The 17,365-nt window shown below is 36.3% G+C and overlaps 1 long non-coding RNA gene across 1 annotated transcript; it reads right to left on the minus strand.

The window, feature by feature from the left end:
• Positions 1-994: 994 nt before the first annotated feature.
• On the minus strand, positions 995-15,157 carry LOC107986154 (uncharacterized). The gene is made up of 3 exons (XR_001741024.2): positions 14,967-15,157; positions 5,793-5,905; positions 995-2,275 (listed from the first exon to the last, which is right to left on the minus strand). It is a non-coding gene; the product is annotated as an uncharacterized LOC107986154 (long non-coding RNA).
• Between the last annotated feature and the right edge of the window lie 2,208 nt (positions 15,158-17,365).

Here is a 17,365-nt window from a genome sequence, read left to right on the forward strand (position 1 = left end):
TGCTTCAGCCTCCTGAGTAGCTGGGATTACAGGTATGCCCCACCACACCCAGTTAATTTTTGTATTTTTGGTAGAGACAGGTTTCACCATGTTGGCCAGGCTGGTCTTGAATTCCTGACCTCAGATGATCCACCTGCCTCGACCTTTCAAAATGTTGGGATTACAGCCATGAGTTACTGCACCCGGCAGTATTCCTTATATTTTAATATTACATATTTATAATTTTCAGGTAATATACAATGAAAATTCATTGCAATTAGAGTGTTAAAATAAAATAGTGTATGTTAAGAAGAAATACAATGCAGATGCTTTTTTTTCTCCCCAGTCCTTAATTATCTCTAACCTTATATTTACACTGGTATCTCTGAGTGATTCAGATATAATTAACATTTACTGAGCATACAGTGTTTGCAGGTAATGTGGTAGTCATTTTAAACACTATATATCATGGAATTATTTTGCCAAAACTAATTGATCAATTCATCAATAAGTATTTAGAATGACTATTTTCCTCTTATCTTGAGTCTGCTTTTAAATGACCTCAAAAAGACTAATTTAGGTCCCCTTCCCTCCCAACCTCCACAAAATGGAATATCAATTGTTATTATTTTATTAGCAATGCAAAACCAGTAAAAAGCTTGACTGGATTTCTCATTCTACAGGGGGAGTGAGAGAGTGACTGGTGAAGCATCTGAATGCAAAACTGAAGGGATCCAAGGAAAGCTCAGCTATGGGGCAGTTTTCCTATCTAAAAAGGACTAACAGTTCTCTGTTAACCTTCTTTTGTGTCAAATACAGGAAATTAATGCGGTTTTAAAAATATCTCCTGCAAGTTGATCAGTGTCCTTTTATTTTTTGTTTTTCTGATTTTATCCCTTCATGAGTATTGTTCCCTTTTGCTATGCAGGCAACCAGCCTGATGGGCTAGTTTTCCAGGTAATCCAACTTGGCTCCACGGCTTTAAGACTCTGTTGAATCAAGCTGGTTTCTTCCTTGCATATCTTCTTCTGTTTAGAAACCTTATTCCTTGTTGGTGATTTTGTCAGTTTTGTGCTTCGATTGCTTTGTGTCATAAAACCTTTTTAGATAAAACTATATGTGTTGGGGAAGGAGACCAACAAAAATATATTATTCAATTACCTTAATCAAATCTCTTTGGGTTAATGAGTGTGGCCTCAGTTATGGCAATTTTTAGAAATGTAGCTTTTGAATTGAAGTTCTTTTGAAAAAATAAAACTACTTATTAGGGGCAAAAAAACAAGGAATAGTTGTGTTCTACTTTTGAAACACTGTCAGATTTAAATAGTACTGGTACAATAGAAATCTTGTGGCTTGGGATTCAGAGATCTGAGTTCCAGTTTTCGCTTTACTCGTAAGTAATATTAAGGTGATCAGGTAAACTCCTCTTAGTTTCTTTCTCTAAAAAGATGGGATTAAATTAGATGATTTTTTAGGATATCTAGAAATTCTAAGACTCTGTAACACACTGTGTTATGACAAGGTCCTTTTAGACATAAATCAAAATTATTCTGAAATTATTTCATATTTTAGAGGCATCAGTAGGGCTTATTATAAAATGAACTGGTATGAAATGACATTATTATCTTTATTTCACATGCTGTAGATATAAATACATACTCTAATGAGCTTCAAATAACATTAATTAAACTGTTTGAGAAGAGTCACCCTCTAATCTTTTTTGAAAACAAAGCTGCCCAGTAGAAATATGTGAGCCATACATGTAATTTATATTTTCTAGTAGTCACATTAAAAAGTAAAAAAAGTAAAATTAATTTTACTATCATATTTTAGTTAATCCGATACGTCCAAAATATTATTGCTTCAATAGGTAATCAGTTAAAAATTAATGAGTTATTTTGCATTCATTTTCTTAATAAAACAATTTTAAAATGTCTGGTGCATATTTTATACTTACAGCATACCTTATTTTGGATTAGCCACATTCCAAGTGCTCTATAGCCACACATAGCTGGTGGCTACCATAAGTGGTCAGTGCTAATCTAGATAAAATACTTTATTCCAATCATAACTTTAAAACTGTGTATTAAAAGTATGTGAGAAAAACTCTTCGTTCTTTGTATTCAACTGAATTCCAATTAACCTTTTGAGAAGATTGTGTTTGCCCAGGTTTTGACAACGTGGCCACTTTCACACAGTACAAACTGCAGGGATGTCAATCATCTTTCAGAGAATGTAGGTTGTGCAACGAATCCCAATTATCCAGCATCCATGACAGAGGCTGTGATGGCTTTGCCTGGAATTTCAAAAATGGTCTCAACTTAAAAGTGACATATTTCATTGTGTTCATTGAAAAACTGATGCCTTATCAGAAAACCTATTTTTTTTACTGCCTCTAGAATACTGACCATTGCAAACAGATTTTTAAAGGTTTCATATATACTGTGGACAGTTCTTTCAAAGCCCCAAAACAGAGAAAATTAGTCCAAATTTGCTCTTTGTTGCAAACATTTTGCACAACATTGGGCTATGTATTTGAATAGTGGTGTTACATAGTAAATTAGCTTTTTGAACTAAAACATTTAAACAAACTTTCTGTGCCTTTGTTTTGGCTCCATATTTATTTATTGAAACTTATTATTATTATTTTTTATTGATAAACCATAATTGTCTACATTTATGAGGTACAGCATGATGTTTTGATATATGTATATATACAATGTGGCATAATTAAATCAAGCTAGTTAACGTGCTTATCACCTTGCTTACCTATTATCTTTATAATACATTTAAAATTTTCTGTTATTTAAAAATATATATTATTATTGACTATAGTCACCCTGCTGAGAAACAACTCTCAAAACGTATTACTCTTGTTTATCTGAAACTTCGTACCCTTTGATTACCTGTCATCATTCCCTTTCTTCCTAACCCTCCCTACCTGCCACCCTAGCCTCTGCTAACCATTGCTCTACTCTACTTCTATGAATTCAATTTACTTTTTTAAATTAAATTAAATTTAATTTTAACTTCTGGGAGTGTTCAACTTTATTAGATTTCACATACGGGTGAGACCATGCAGTATTTGTCTTTCTGTGCTTGACTTATTTCACTTAGCTCCATGTCCTCCAAATTCATCCGTGTCATCACAAATGACAGGATTTCCCTCCTTTGTAGGACCGAATAGTATTCCGTCATGTATGTGTACCCACATTTTCTTTATCCATTCATCTACTGATGGACATTTGGGTTGTTTCCATATCTTGGCTATTGTGAACAATGCTGCAATTAGCATAGCAGTGCAGATATCCCTTTGACATACTGATTTCAGTTTCTTTGGATATATACCCAGAAGTGAGATTACTGGGTTGAATCATAATTCTATGTTTGGTTTTTCTGGGAAGCTCCATACCCTGTTTTCATAAAAGCTGTATTAATTTTTATTCTCACCAACAACATATAAAAGTTCAATTTTTCTGCATCCTCTTAATGGTTATCTTTCATCTTTTTGATAAAAGCCATTATATCAGATGTGAGGTAATATTTCATTGTGGTTTTAATTTATATTTTTCTAATTAGTGATGCTAAGCATTTTTCCATGTACCTATTAGCCATTTGTGTGTCTTCTTTTGAAAAATATCTGGGCCATTTTCTCATTTTTAAGTTATTTGTTTTCTTGTTTTAAGTTGTTTGAGTTTCTTATGTATTTTGCATAGTAACCCCTTATCAGATGTATAATTTGCAAGTATTTTCTCCTATTCTGTGGGTTGTTTTTTCACTTTGTTAATTATTTCTTTTGCTGTGCAGAATATTTTAGTTGGATGCCACCCCATTTGTCTATTTTTATTTCATTGCCTGTGCTTCAGGGGTGATATCCAAGAAATGACTGTCTAGACCAATGTCATGAAGATTTTCTTCTTTGTTTTCTTTTAGTAGTTTTACAGGTTCAGGTGTCTTCTATGTAAGTCTTTAATTCATTTTGAGTTGATTTTTGTATGTGGTATAAGATAAAGGTCTAATTTTATTCTTCTGCATGGGGATATCCAATTTTCCCAACAACAATTATTGAAGAGATTGTCCTTTCCGCATTGTGTATTCTTGGCAACTTTGTCAAAAATCAGTTAGCCGTCAAATGCATAGGTTTATTTCTGGGTTTTCTATCTTGCTCCATTGATCAACGTATCTGTTTTTATGCAAGTACCATGCAGCTTTGATTACAATCACTTTATAATATGTTTTGAAATCAAGGCATGTGATACTTCCAGCTCTGTTATTTTTGCTCAAGATTGTTTTGGCAATTCCTAACTCAGTGCCCTGACCAACTGTATTGAAATCATCTACAGTGCTGACCATAAATATGGATTTCTGGTTTCTTTCCTCACTCTCAAATCAAGATCTTTCAAGGTAGTTCTCAATATTTTAATTTTCATCAAAGCCCCCATGTTATTTTTCTATAGCTAGGTGAAAGAACGCCCCCCATCTTTTGTTCCATAGCTGAAAAAATAGAAGATGAAATAATTTAAACTATTTGCCTCATATTCTAAAACTAGTAAATATCAGACCTAGAATCAGAGCCTACCTAAGCTTTCTCTCTTAATAATATTTCTGAAATGACCGTGTCCATTAATAATGTTCAACACCATATACTGAACTAATTAAAGGAGAAAAAAGGACATATTTTAGACACATTTTTAACAATAAAGATTTTTAAAAATAGAGTCACTTGAATTAAATTTAATCAGATTATGTTTCCACAGTTACTCTATTTAATCAAGCTTTTACTATCAAACTTTGCAGTAGCATTCTTCAGAGAACCTTGCAAGCAAGTTCTCTTAAGCACTTCTCTCGAAGGTATATGAGATTTAAATAATGGAAGAAGATACCCATATATTTTTCCCCTGGTAGTTGAAATCATTTAGATAGTTTTATGTAAATTTTATGCAAATGGAACACATTTTATGCCCCCAAACTTATGGTGATCATAACTACTTTATTCACCAAAAGTTGGCCTTCAGCAAGATTCTACTGAGGACTGATGATCTATGCAGTCTCCTTCTGCCTGGATTTTTGTGACATTTATCATCATCCTACTTGGATACTCAAAAGACTTGCAATATGTGAATATAGGACTGAAATAAGACCCTGATTTTCCTTCAGCCAAGCCTGAACTACCTACCACAAGCACCTGGGGATCATTTTTTGTAGTTTCTTCTCTAGTTTCTTAGTACAAATCATCTTGATTCATTTATGTCATAAAGTAATAGACATTCAAATTATAATTTTACTGAGTAAAAAGACACACCCTGGTATGTATGGAAAGTATTACTAAATTTTATTAGTTTTTAAGAGTGACTGTTTGCCAATAGCTAAATTTAGAAAGAATATGTTCCTAACAGTGCAGCTCTAGAGAAAATGTTAAGGCGTGATGATTTCATTAATTTTCAGAGCATTACAGCCAGCTGGCAAAGCCTTTTCTATACCATTGTGGCTTACTGCCTTTGAAATTACTTTCTTTTCTTAAATTAACCTGACGATGTTAAAGTGACAAAATAGCAATAACGGTGTGATAAAATTGGCCTCTTTGTATAATCTTAAAGTAACTTAACTAACTTAAATAATAGTACCCTGAGTTTATGACTGCTGCAGTGTACTCCATAAAAAGAAATTGGTGTTAAGAACATTTACAGAGCCCCATATTAGTTTTATTGATAGATAAATAACATTTAAAAATTTGAATCATATGTAAAATAGAAGGAGACTTCTAGCTCAAAAAGAAATTCCCCATTTAAACCCTCAGGACCTAGTTGTCTCACCTGTGGTGGTGGAAAGAGCACCAAGCTTGGAACCAGAGGGCCCAGGTTCGGGTCACTGTCATCATGTGAGCATGGGCAGGTAAGAGAATTTCTCTGGGTCTCAGTTTCCACATCTGCAAAATGGGGATACTAATATTAACGCTGCCTTCTTCTCAGGTTGTTATACAAATAAAATAATAAATGTGAGTGACAACAGAAGAAACATATTCCCAAGATTTCTGAGGAGTTTGTCTCATAGAGAGGAAATAAGTCAGAATGAGTGGTTAGACTTTGTAGAATATGCACATCCTACAGTGTGTGCAGGGGAGGGTGCTAAATGAGGACAATAATGTCTGAGCAGCAGCAAGGAAGGGAGGACACAGGGAAAGATAATGTCATGGGAACCATGAGGATGGTGCTTCTGGGAAAGAGGGGTTCAGAGGGAATTTTTTTTATAAGGATAATGAATGAATGAATGGTTAGATGTTGGATGGACAAATGGATGGTTGGTTGAATGGTAGGATGGATGGTTGAATGGTAGGATGGATGGATGGACTAGATAAACCCCTGAACCACCCTGTAAAGAAAACCATCAGTCAAAATCTCCTTTAGGGTGGCTGTTCAATGGGCAGAGAAGGCCTCAGGGTGGCCCAGAATTCTTCAGGTTTAACATGTAAGTCTTTTGGTCAGTTTTATTTTAAACTTTTGTACAAATACCAAATATAGCTGTTTCTTGAATATGGACAATGGTGGCTGAGCTGGCTACTTTAGGAGGAGCCTCATTCCGTTGTTGGAAGGCTTGGCTTTCTTTTAAGTTGAACTGAAATCTTGACCCTGGCAACTGCTACCTTGGGTCCTGAAATCTTGACCCTGGTGACTGTACCTTTGGAGTCACAGAACATTTTCTTCCTTTTGACATATAGCAACACTTCTCTAAACAGCATGTTCTAGACCTAGATAGGGTGGAGATCTGCATTCTGTTTGTTAGCCCATGATTATCAGCATTTAAAACCTCCATAAAACATTACAAGTCATGTTAGACTTATAGTACCGAAAGTTAATTTCTACTTTATCTTTCGGATATTCTCCAATTCATAAACACAAAAAGCAGATATACAAGCCATGCACTAGTCAGGGTTTTCAAGATGAGAGCACCACTCAGAATGTTCAAAGTGTCAAGTTATCACAACAGGAATAAACAGGCCACAAAAGTTTACTTTATCCATGTTGTTTGTGAAGTAGAGTAATACATTAATTTTTAAAAATATAGTAGCTTTCTATATAGTACTATGTTATCATTGAAAAATGGAATTTTCATCAAAAACCTATCTTCTACTTTTTCAGTGATATGAAGGAAAAATTCTTTATCCCAGACATTTATCATTCACCCTTTAATATTCATCTACTTCTTTATTTATACATCGTTCATTCACCAAGCACTTATCTAATTTCTACTATATACTGGGCATTTGGCTAAGTGCTAGTGCTAGAGGTACTAATTATAATAAGGCATGATTTTTGGTCTAAAAGGGTCTGGTCATCAAGTGTCTGAAGTAAGAGGCCAAGATGAGGTGTTAGGAATGAGGATAAGAAAAAGAGTTTGCAGGCTGGACGCAGTGGCTCACGCTTGTAATCTCAGCACTTTGAGAGGCCCAGGCGGGTGGATCACTTGAGGTCAGGAGTTCGAGACCAGCCTGACCAACATGGTGAAACCCCATCTCTACTAAAAATACAAAATTAGTCGGGCATAGTGGCACACGCTTGTAATCCCAGCTACTTGGGAGGCTGAGAGGCAGGAGAATTGCTTGAACTGGGAAGGCGGAGGCTGCAGTGAGTTGAGATCCCGCCACTGTACTCCAGCCTGGGCAACAACAGTGAAACTCTGTCTCAAAAAAAAAAAAAAAAAAAAAGAAAGAAAAAGAAAGAAAGAAAAAAGAAAAAAAAACATAGCAAGTAACCAGTAAGTGAAAGAAGAAAAGGAAAGATTTGTAGTGGGAATAGCAGGGCAATATGGAATGTCCACATGGAGCTAGGACCTGCCAGAGCTATAAACCTGTAGCATTGGAAGAATCATATTGCTCTAAATTCTTTATCTACCATAAGAGAAAACAGAGATTCTGGGGGATATAAGGCAATGGATGATTTCCTCAGGGCTAGGTCATTTCAATCCTTTCCAGTGGTTCGATATAACACCAGATCACCTCATCGTGCTAGTGGAAGGCATCAGGCAACTGGGAACTACCTATTCCCTATAGGATTTTGTTCTACTGTATTGCCGTATTGCAATGCCATCCATAGTAGCATACTTTTTATTTTCTGTTATAAATATATAATCTCATAGAATAAGAATGTATTCTTTCAGCTGCTCATTAGTTGAGTCTAGTTCTCCTCATATAAAGACTTAAAAAAAAAAAAACAAACACCTATTTTAGTAACACTTTCTGGAACATCTTTAATTTTCCAGATGAATTGTTCACTAATTAGTATCCCAGGAGTGTGAGTGCTATAAATGATAGATACTCTTTTAATTTTAAAACTAAGATGGCTTGGAGAATTTTTAAATTTAAGTCCCAAGAAAATTTAACAGAAATGCTGATAAAAATGGTATGTCATTCTATGCTTATGTTCAGTGAAAGAAATCGAATACATTTATTTTTCCCAAATAGTTAAGTTTACAGAGTTTCCTAATAAAGAGTGGTGATATAGTCTGGGTCTGCATCCCCACCCAAATCTCATGTCAAATTGTAATCCCCAGTGTTGGAGGTGGGGCCTGGTGGGAGGGGATTGGATCATGGGGGCAGTTTGCCCCTCAGTGCTGCTCAGTGATAGTGAGTGAGTGCTCATGAGATTTGTTTGTTTAAAAGTGTGTGGCACCTCTCCCCTCTCTCTCTTCCTTCTGCTCTGGCCTGCTGCCCCTTCACCTTCCACCATGATTGTAAGTTTCCCAAGGTCTCCCCAGCCATGCTTCTTGTACAGCCTGTGGAACCATGAGCCAATTAAACCTCTTTTCCTAATAAGTTACCCAGTCTCAGGTATTTCTTTATAGCAGTCTGAGAATAGACTAATACAAGTGGTATGCCCTAAATTACCATGCAACCTAAAACTTAAAGGGAGAGATTAAATAAAACAACATTTTTGTTTATTAAAATAACCATCTATTTAAAAATGTTCATTACTTAATAATGACCTATAATATCCATTTAAGCATCAAATTGGGCAAAAATTATTTACAAAGTTCTACTTTTGTTTCTCTCTTTAAATAAAATATTGGCTTCAGAGCACTCATAAGTTAATAGACCAAAGAGAATTCTAATCTTTCGATTCTCGGCCTAATTTTCTCCTTTCATTTTCAGTATGAACATAGGGGTTCCAGGTAGACATTGAAACAAAACTTTAGAAGGATTAAAGAAGGAAGTAAGAGCCAAACAAGGAAAAAATAAGAAACAAAAAAGAATGGGGTAATCTCTCCCATGACAAGCCCTGAATATAAATAAGGGTGCGGTCTTAAAGTGAGTCATTACTCCATTGCCTACTCCTTTCATGGCAGAGACAGTGATGTCGTGGAATAGAAGCTGTTAAAGAGGCTTTATATAACTATTAGCCTCTGAAACAATAGACAGGCAGCAGGGTGTTGTTCCAGAAAATGTTCAAAGAGGAGGAGTAATTTTGTCCTTTACAAATTTAATATCTTCTCTTTTCTCCTATATCATTTGGAGGAAGCGCCTTTTTCCTTTTTCTCTTTTTTAAGCAAAATAAGCGTTATGCACTAGTAGGTAGTGAGTGAATTCTCTTTGCCAGCAGGAAGAAAAGCAATTTTTGAATGCCAAAAATAGCTCCTTTGTGTGAAAATATCACATAGCCCAAGACATTTTTGGGAGAAAGCAAAGATTCATGTTCTGAATTATTGTTTTTTAAATATACAGGCAGAGAAATGTTAATAATAGAAAAGACAGAAATTGATGGTCATTTCAAAGTCTGAATGTTTATCCTGTTTACGACACACTCAGACTTTTGTGTGGTCTCAGTCATAATTCCTCTCCCAGGCTATGTCTCTAGGAGATAGGTATTCCTAATCATTCTGTTTGGGTCAAGACATTTTATTCCTTCCCTACCTTTTACTACTTGTTCCTATGCAACATTACAAACCAGCAAAGTATGAACTGACCTGGATATAGGAGATGGCCCTAGAGCTGTAGACAGAATTAAAAATCGTATCTTTTTTTTTTTTTTTTGTAAAGCACCCCGACATCTTTGGGAACCGTTCACTCTAGGGAATCTTTTTATCCATTATTTGCAAATAGCAGACCATCAGCCAGTTACAAAGACTTTTGATAGAGGTGGTGGGCATCTTTTACTTTCACCCAACCAGTATCCCTTTCTGCTTCATTTGATAGTAACATATCCTTTTCTTTTGAAAAACTAACCATTCTTATTACATGTCATTTTGATGGCACTGTCAGTCCAACTGTACTGCCTTCCTTCTGGCCAGTGAGTGGATGGCCATGTGAACCAGGCTGGGACAGTGAGATGTTTTCCTATGAACGTGAGTATTGAATGGAATGACACAAGAATGGAACATGGTCACTGACTCACTTTGCTAGTGGTTCTACTTGTCTGACTGCTGAATGAATTCTAACTCCTGACTGACAGATTTTGGAACCTGGAAGTAGAGTGCTCTTATAGCAAAATCTAAAATGAGACAGTGGTTTTGGAAATAGGCGGTGTGTAGAAGGTGGAAACTGTGAGAATTTTGAGTAGAGTATTGGTGAAAGATCAAGTACCTTGAACCCATTGTGCATACAATTTTGAATTATGAGGAGGCTGGCAGTGAGGCCTTAAAGGAATGGGAGAAAAATCTTATTGGAAACTGGAGGGAAGGGCAGAAACTTAACAATACACTTGTCTGCAGGAACATGGAAAGTAGAAAATGTGCCTGATAAACTAGGGGATCTAGCTGAGATTTCCAAGCAGAACGGTTAGTTACCACCCATTTTTTTTTTCTTGCTGCTTATAGTAAAACATGAGATGAGAGAAAGCTAAACTAAGGGAAGGACTGTTAAACAAAAAGAAGCTGGATCTTGATGGTTCTGAAAGCTCTCACACTATTCAGAAAGTCGGAGATGCTAAAACGGAGATAATGTCTAGGGTGTGGCCATAAATCTTTTTATTAAGATCTTCACAATTCTCTGGTACCTCAGAGAACCTTCAGTCAGACTGAAGGGCCCCTTAAGGAGATTAAGAGTGTGCCACACAGATTCTCTCAGCCAAAGAGTAGAGCTTCTAAGAAGCCTAAGGGCATTGTCCCCAGTCATCTCAGCAGAAGCCCAAGGTGGAAGGGAGATTATCTGTAAGAGGTGTGTGGGTGGGGCTTTTGTCTGATGGATTTAACCTGGAGAAGTTTCACAGGAAACCCATAAGGTTCTCAAAAGAGATAGATACAGAAACATTACCACTTGGATGGAATGGGACAGTGCAGAACAGTACAGAATGAAGACAGGGCTTTGAAGGCCCAGAATTTTAACACCTGCTATATTTTGCAAAACTAGAAAGAAGACTAGGAGGGTGAAACCAAGAGCCCAGAGGGCAGAGTGGAGAAACACGAAGAATTATTTCAGATATGAGACCTAATCAAGGATCTTCCAACATTTGCCTGGCTCAATTTTAGAACTGCCATGGACCTGTAACCCCTATGTCTTCCATCCCCTACCCCTTCTTTGAACAGGGTCATATAAGTGCTTATCTTATATCTGTCCCGCTGTTGCATGTTGGCAGAGGAAGACATAATTTGCTCTTGTTTTATGGGTTTAAAAATAACAAGGAATTGTATTTGAAGAGCTGTGCTTAAAGAACTACACTTGAGAAACCACATTCATACTTGGACCTGATTTAGATGACGAGATTATGGACTTGAAGCTGATATTGCAATGGAATGAGAATTTTGAAGTCTTTGGGGGCAGTGAGTACATTTTGCATTTGAGAGGTAAATAAATCATTGGGCACCAGAGGATACACTGTGGTGGGCAGCCTATAAGGTGGCTCCTAGTGATCCTTGCCTTCTGGTATTCACATCGTTTTGTAATACCTTCTTGCTGAGTGTGGGCTGGGCTTGTTGACTCACATATAACAAATAGAATACCTGGGAAGTGATAGGACAGTAATTGAGGGATTAGGTTATAAAAGGCTGCAGTTTTCATCTTGGAGGCTCTCTCTCACTCTCTTTTGAATGACTTACCCTGGGGAAGCCAGCTGCCATGCTATAAAGCATAAGGCAGCCCTGTGGCAAGTCCCATGGAAATGGACTTGAAAATAGACTTTCTGAGACCTGCCCATAGCTATGTGAATGGGCTTGGAAGCAGATATCCTTGAGATAACTGTAGTCTCAGCCAAAACCTTGATTGTAGCCCATGAAAGAATCTGTGCCAAAACGACACAGCTAAGCTGCTCCTGATTCGTGAGCTACAGAAACTTTTGAAAAATAATTGTTTGCTATTTTCAGCCTCTAAATGTTGAGATAATTTGTTATGCAGAAATGGATAAAAATACACTCATATTCTAGAGGATACACTATGCTATAATGCTCTAATTGCTATTATTCAACATTTTGTGAAAAGGCAATTCCACTGTGTTTAAGAGGATGACATTGTCAATGAATCTTTTAGTCACTATTTAGTCACTATTTGAAGAGTGCCAACTTTGACCACAATTTTATTTTTAAAAATTGTGCTAATGCCAAATTCCTTTTTAAATCTGATTTCTCAAATATCGTGAAATATAAAGTTTGGTCTCCTACCTCTCCACTGTCTTAACTGATCTTTTGATTAATTCTTTTCTTTAATTACAAAACGATAGCTTAAAATGGCATGAGGGCATGGTGTTCCCTTGGTCCTTGGAATTATCCCAGGTTGGAGTGCTCAAAGATAGGCTAGATTTATATATAATAATGTTACCTTTATGAGATGCTTATGTGTAACAGGAACTTTGAAACTTGCTTTCTGTCATCATTTTAGACAATTCTCATACCAATTGTTTGAATTAGGCATCATTATTATTCCTCCTTTAAAGAGAGTTGCCCAATGTCATACATCAGTGAGAGGTGGATCTGAGATTTGAACCCAGATCTGCCTATCTTCAAGAAATCCTGAGCTCTTAATCACTTTAGGCAAAGAAGATGTCCTGTGCCTCTTTGCATGAATTAATAAGCTGTGATAAGTGGATTCGCTCCATGGCCCAGTGGTTACAAAACAGAACCTGTGCGAGCCCATTTCATATCCTCCTGGATGCAGCCTGTGAGGGGTTTTGAATCCAGAGAAGCCCTTTTGTCACATGTGAGCCCAGGACATTTTTGAAGAGAGAAGTCCATGCCCAATCTGAAATAAACTCTGTCACCAGGTTATAGCCTCTGCCTTTAAGAAAACTTTGGGCAATCTTAAACATTATTCAGAATGTGGGAGATACTTGAAGTGGTCAGTTATATTGATTTTTCAGGATCAAGAGTACATGAATTCTAAGAGAGAAATCAGAGGGTTTCAACAGGCATTTGGATGGAGTGGAACAAAAACTCCCTGGCTATGCCTGTGACCAAGACTATCACTGTTTGTTTTCCGCTAAGGGAAAACAGGGGCTAGCATGTTTGGTAAACTGTTACATGCCAGAGTGTTCACTAAATGCTTTATGCATTTGGGTCATTCTGACAAACATTGACTCATTTGTTGGTTATTTAAAAGGGACAATTGAAATATAAAATATGATGAAATTCCTGATATTAATAAGTGTCTTTGTTCTATTTGAGAAATCAGATTAAAAAAAGAATTTGGCATTAGCACAATTTTTAAAAATAAAATTGTGGTCAAAGTCATTAATGAAATATTTATTTTTATTTGCTTTCTTCCCTCACTAATTTTCCAACAGACTTAATTTCTTCAAAATCGAATCCTTTATATTTCTTAAAGCTTCAGCATAATTTTACAAATTGTTGAAAATACATTCCATGTTTTCCTGGTCATGTTTCTCATACCTAGACTATGTATTCAGTCAAACAGGGTGATGGTCAGGCCAAAGTTTATCTTATCACACCAGAGTTTTTAGGTCATTTCCAGTTTTCTTATTTTTTTTTTCTTTTCAAACTTTCACTTGAAAAGAAATTAATTGGAAAACACTAGCAAAGCTTTTTTCCTTCCTCTTTTGGCTACTTAACTGCCAACTGCCAATTGTTTCTGCATTCTTTATCTGATGTGCACAAGATACAGGAAAATTGTGGCTGTATTTGGAGTTGGCAATAGTTAAATGGAATTATAGAGAGTGACTAAAACCAACATGTATTTTGTAGAGTCTTTTGATTACACACAGCTTTCTCTGAGACATAAAAAAAAAAACCTCTTGAAGGATTAGCTTTCTAGGGAGAATTACCATTTTGAAAGATTTTTGCCACATTTCAATGACAAAATTATTCAGAAAAAAAAGTGCCTCTCTGTAAATAGTCTCTAAAGTCTCACAAACATCTGAGCTCTTGGGGGCCAGAATCAGGGCACAATTTGCGTAAATTAAATACACACACACATTTGATAATCCAAAGGTCTCTCAGATGTGTTTTGACCCCTCTGGAAAGTATCATCAAAATAACTGTACCATCTCTTCAAAAAAGCGCCTGTGACACGGACCATGAAAACACGGTTGTAGAAATCTTATTTTAACCATTGATGTATTACAGCTATGTTAAAGTGGCAGCTGAATTAACTTGGTTGAAAACCAAGTATGTTATATGTATCTTTTCCTCAACAGACCAGTGTGAAATATAAAGCTTATTTTTTTATGTAACTCCTTAAATGATCTAAATCCTTTATTTAAAACAACTTACCTTATGATAACTCTTCTGACAGATTTAAATACTCTTTTTATAATATGAGACTTTGCATATTTCTATTGAGATAGCTACATCAACACATTTCCTGAAATTTTTCTTAATAATTAATTTTAATAACATGTGATATGCTGGTTGGAATTTGTGGTTGTTTCATGTGCCTATCTTATTAGAATTTCAAGCATTCCCAAAGCATTCATGTTGGAAAATGACTTAGACAAAATTTTGTGCAATTGGTTAATTTCTCATCAGAAAAAGTCCTGAGAGGTTGAGTAATTTTGCAGTTAACTAATGCCAGACCACTGTAAACAAGAAACAAAATGTGAATCAGATGCTACCTTCTCTGAAGATGGAATCCATATCAAGCAAAAAATCTGACTTCAGAAATTCGCTTTGCAAATTAGTCCAGTAGCTGTCTATCACGTCACCTGGCATCGGTCCACAGCCTCCCAGTAAGACACTTGATAGAGGAAAGACAGCAGAGTGAGAATGTGGTATCCTCCCTCGTCTAAGCCCTCCTTAGGCAAGCTCCCTCATTCCAGCTCTCTCATCCCAATACAAGTTGGGGTAAGATAAGCTCTAGTTGTGAAATGCTCTATGACAAGAAAAATTCAGAGAATGTGCTTTTGTGACCATGAGAGTGTGTTTTACTGCTGGGATGAGGTGAGCCATACAGAGAGGCAGGTGGAGGGGGAGAAGAGAGCTGTGATCTTCCTGGAAATAATTTGCTCCCATGTCACCCCCGGAAAAGGCATCTCCCTTAAATCAGGCAGGCATAATGAATGGTGTGATACCCGGCGGCCTGCACAGTTATAAATACACAACCTTTCATTCTAGAGATGGCCCATTACCACTCACTAAAACAGTCTGTCACAGTGGTGCTCTGGGGCCATTCATTTTTCATGACCTTCTTGGAGACGTGACTGGGATTTCCTGAAACCACGCATAGGTCCCTGCCCAGCAAGCGCTCTGCATTAACATCCCTTAATTCTTCTCTTCCAAAGGTTATCATGTCCTGTGGGGGGATATGTGTGTGTGTGTGTGTGTGTGTGTGTGTGTGTGTATGTCTTCCCTAGCAGGCAGAGAAACAAACAGCACAAACTAAGCTTGACCTTGTTGGAAATACAGTTTATCCACAGAGTGAATGTTGGCTAAAATTTAATCTTATGACATCAGGAATGTTCAAAGTTTACACAGGAGGTAAGAAATTTTAAAAATCAGTTTAAAAAATTATCTCACTATTCCCAAGGTTCAGATTTCACATCATGAGAGGCACACTTTAGCGGAGCAATTGCAGCAAAGCAGGACCTTCTCATTTGCTGGCTGCTTCAAATAACAGTTGTCCCTTTGATAATATTGACACCTATCTCCTTCACAATCTAGTGCTTCTCCTGCACTTTGTAACATATCCCATCTGTTTTTTTAGGGCCACTGTCATAAGGACGCCTGGAAGAGTGAAGAAAGGCCTGATTGATCACAAGGTCCTATCAAATGTCAAAGCTGGCCCTGGCTGACCTCCCATCTATTCAGAGCTGCTTTGATTTAATCTCCAAACTGGCTGCTTCTCCAGGCTGTGAGTTCTATCTGCAACCCATGTGTCAGCATTGAGATATGACCTGCTTCACGCTCCATTCATCTCATTTGAAGGACGGAAATTAAACTCGAGGGTCGAAGAGGGGAACTGCTCAAAATACACACACACATTAACTGAAGCCTTTTGTGTGGGTACATTATAGGAGTTTGAACAACCATTAAAAATTATATTAAAATGAACTTGATCTTTACTCCACTGAAATGGTTTAGAACTCTTCCTCCCCTCACTGCCCCTTCGTCTATTCTTTTTTCCCTCTCATATTTGTAGTAATCATATGAACCTGATCTTATTAAGATTCAAAGTGAAAGAAGAGAAAAATTTACATTTTTTCAGTTTCTTTAAAAATGGTGTCCTTTAGAAAATTCACTTTGCCTGTAGTTTGCACAGTAAATATTTTTTTTAAAGAGATAGGAGAAGCCAGAACCAGACTAATAGAAATGCAGACTGCTTTGTTTAGCATTATTGATTCATTTAAGTTTCACCTTGTAAGGTTTTTAAAAAAATTAATTAAAACTCAAACTTTGGGAACAGTTCTATAACCATCAGGACACATTGGTATGGTATAAATCTATATATCCTAGGTTCCATTTCTTATTTCTAAACTCTTCTTTCTCTTTTCATTGGCCCTTTTATACTATCAAGGCTAATAACTAAGTGAAACTTGATTCCTTATAGATTTGTTTGCATAAAAATTTCAAGAACAAGCTCTACGTTATTTACTAGAAGTACCTCAAAAGTATTGAAATAAAATAATTATAAGTGTGTTAGAAAAGTTAGTTATACTTATTTCTGTGTTTATTCATTTGCTTATGCATTCATACATTTAAACTCTGTATGATAATGGCATCCAGGTAGGAAAAATGTTGTTGCTTGTTTAGTTAAAAGGATATACTGTACATTTCCACTGTAAGAGTAGTACATATTCAATATAGAAAAGACAATTGGCAAAGACAGGCAAGAAAGAGGGAATAGCAGACATCAAAAATACTATTGACCAGAAGTAAACAACATAAATACCTTTGTGTTTATCCTTTCTTTTTTTTTTTGTAGATGCCCACTTTTTATTTTCCTTATATAAAATCATACTGTTTCTGCTTGGGAGAAGACTGCATTTTTGATTGTTATATCACCTTTTATGGAAAT

The sequence above is a fragment of the Homo sapiens genome, chromosome 3 (assembly GCF_000001405.40).
Source record: "Homo sapiens chromosome 3, GRCh38.p14 Primary Assembly".
NCBI classification, from domain to species: Eukaryota; Metazoa; Chordata; class Mammalia; order Primates; family Hominidae; genus Homo; species Homo sapiens.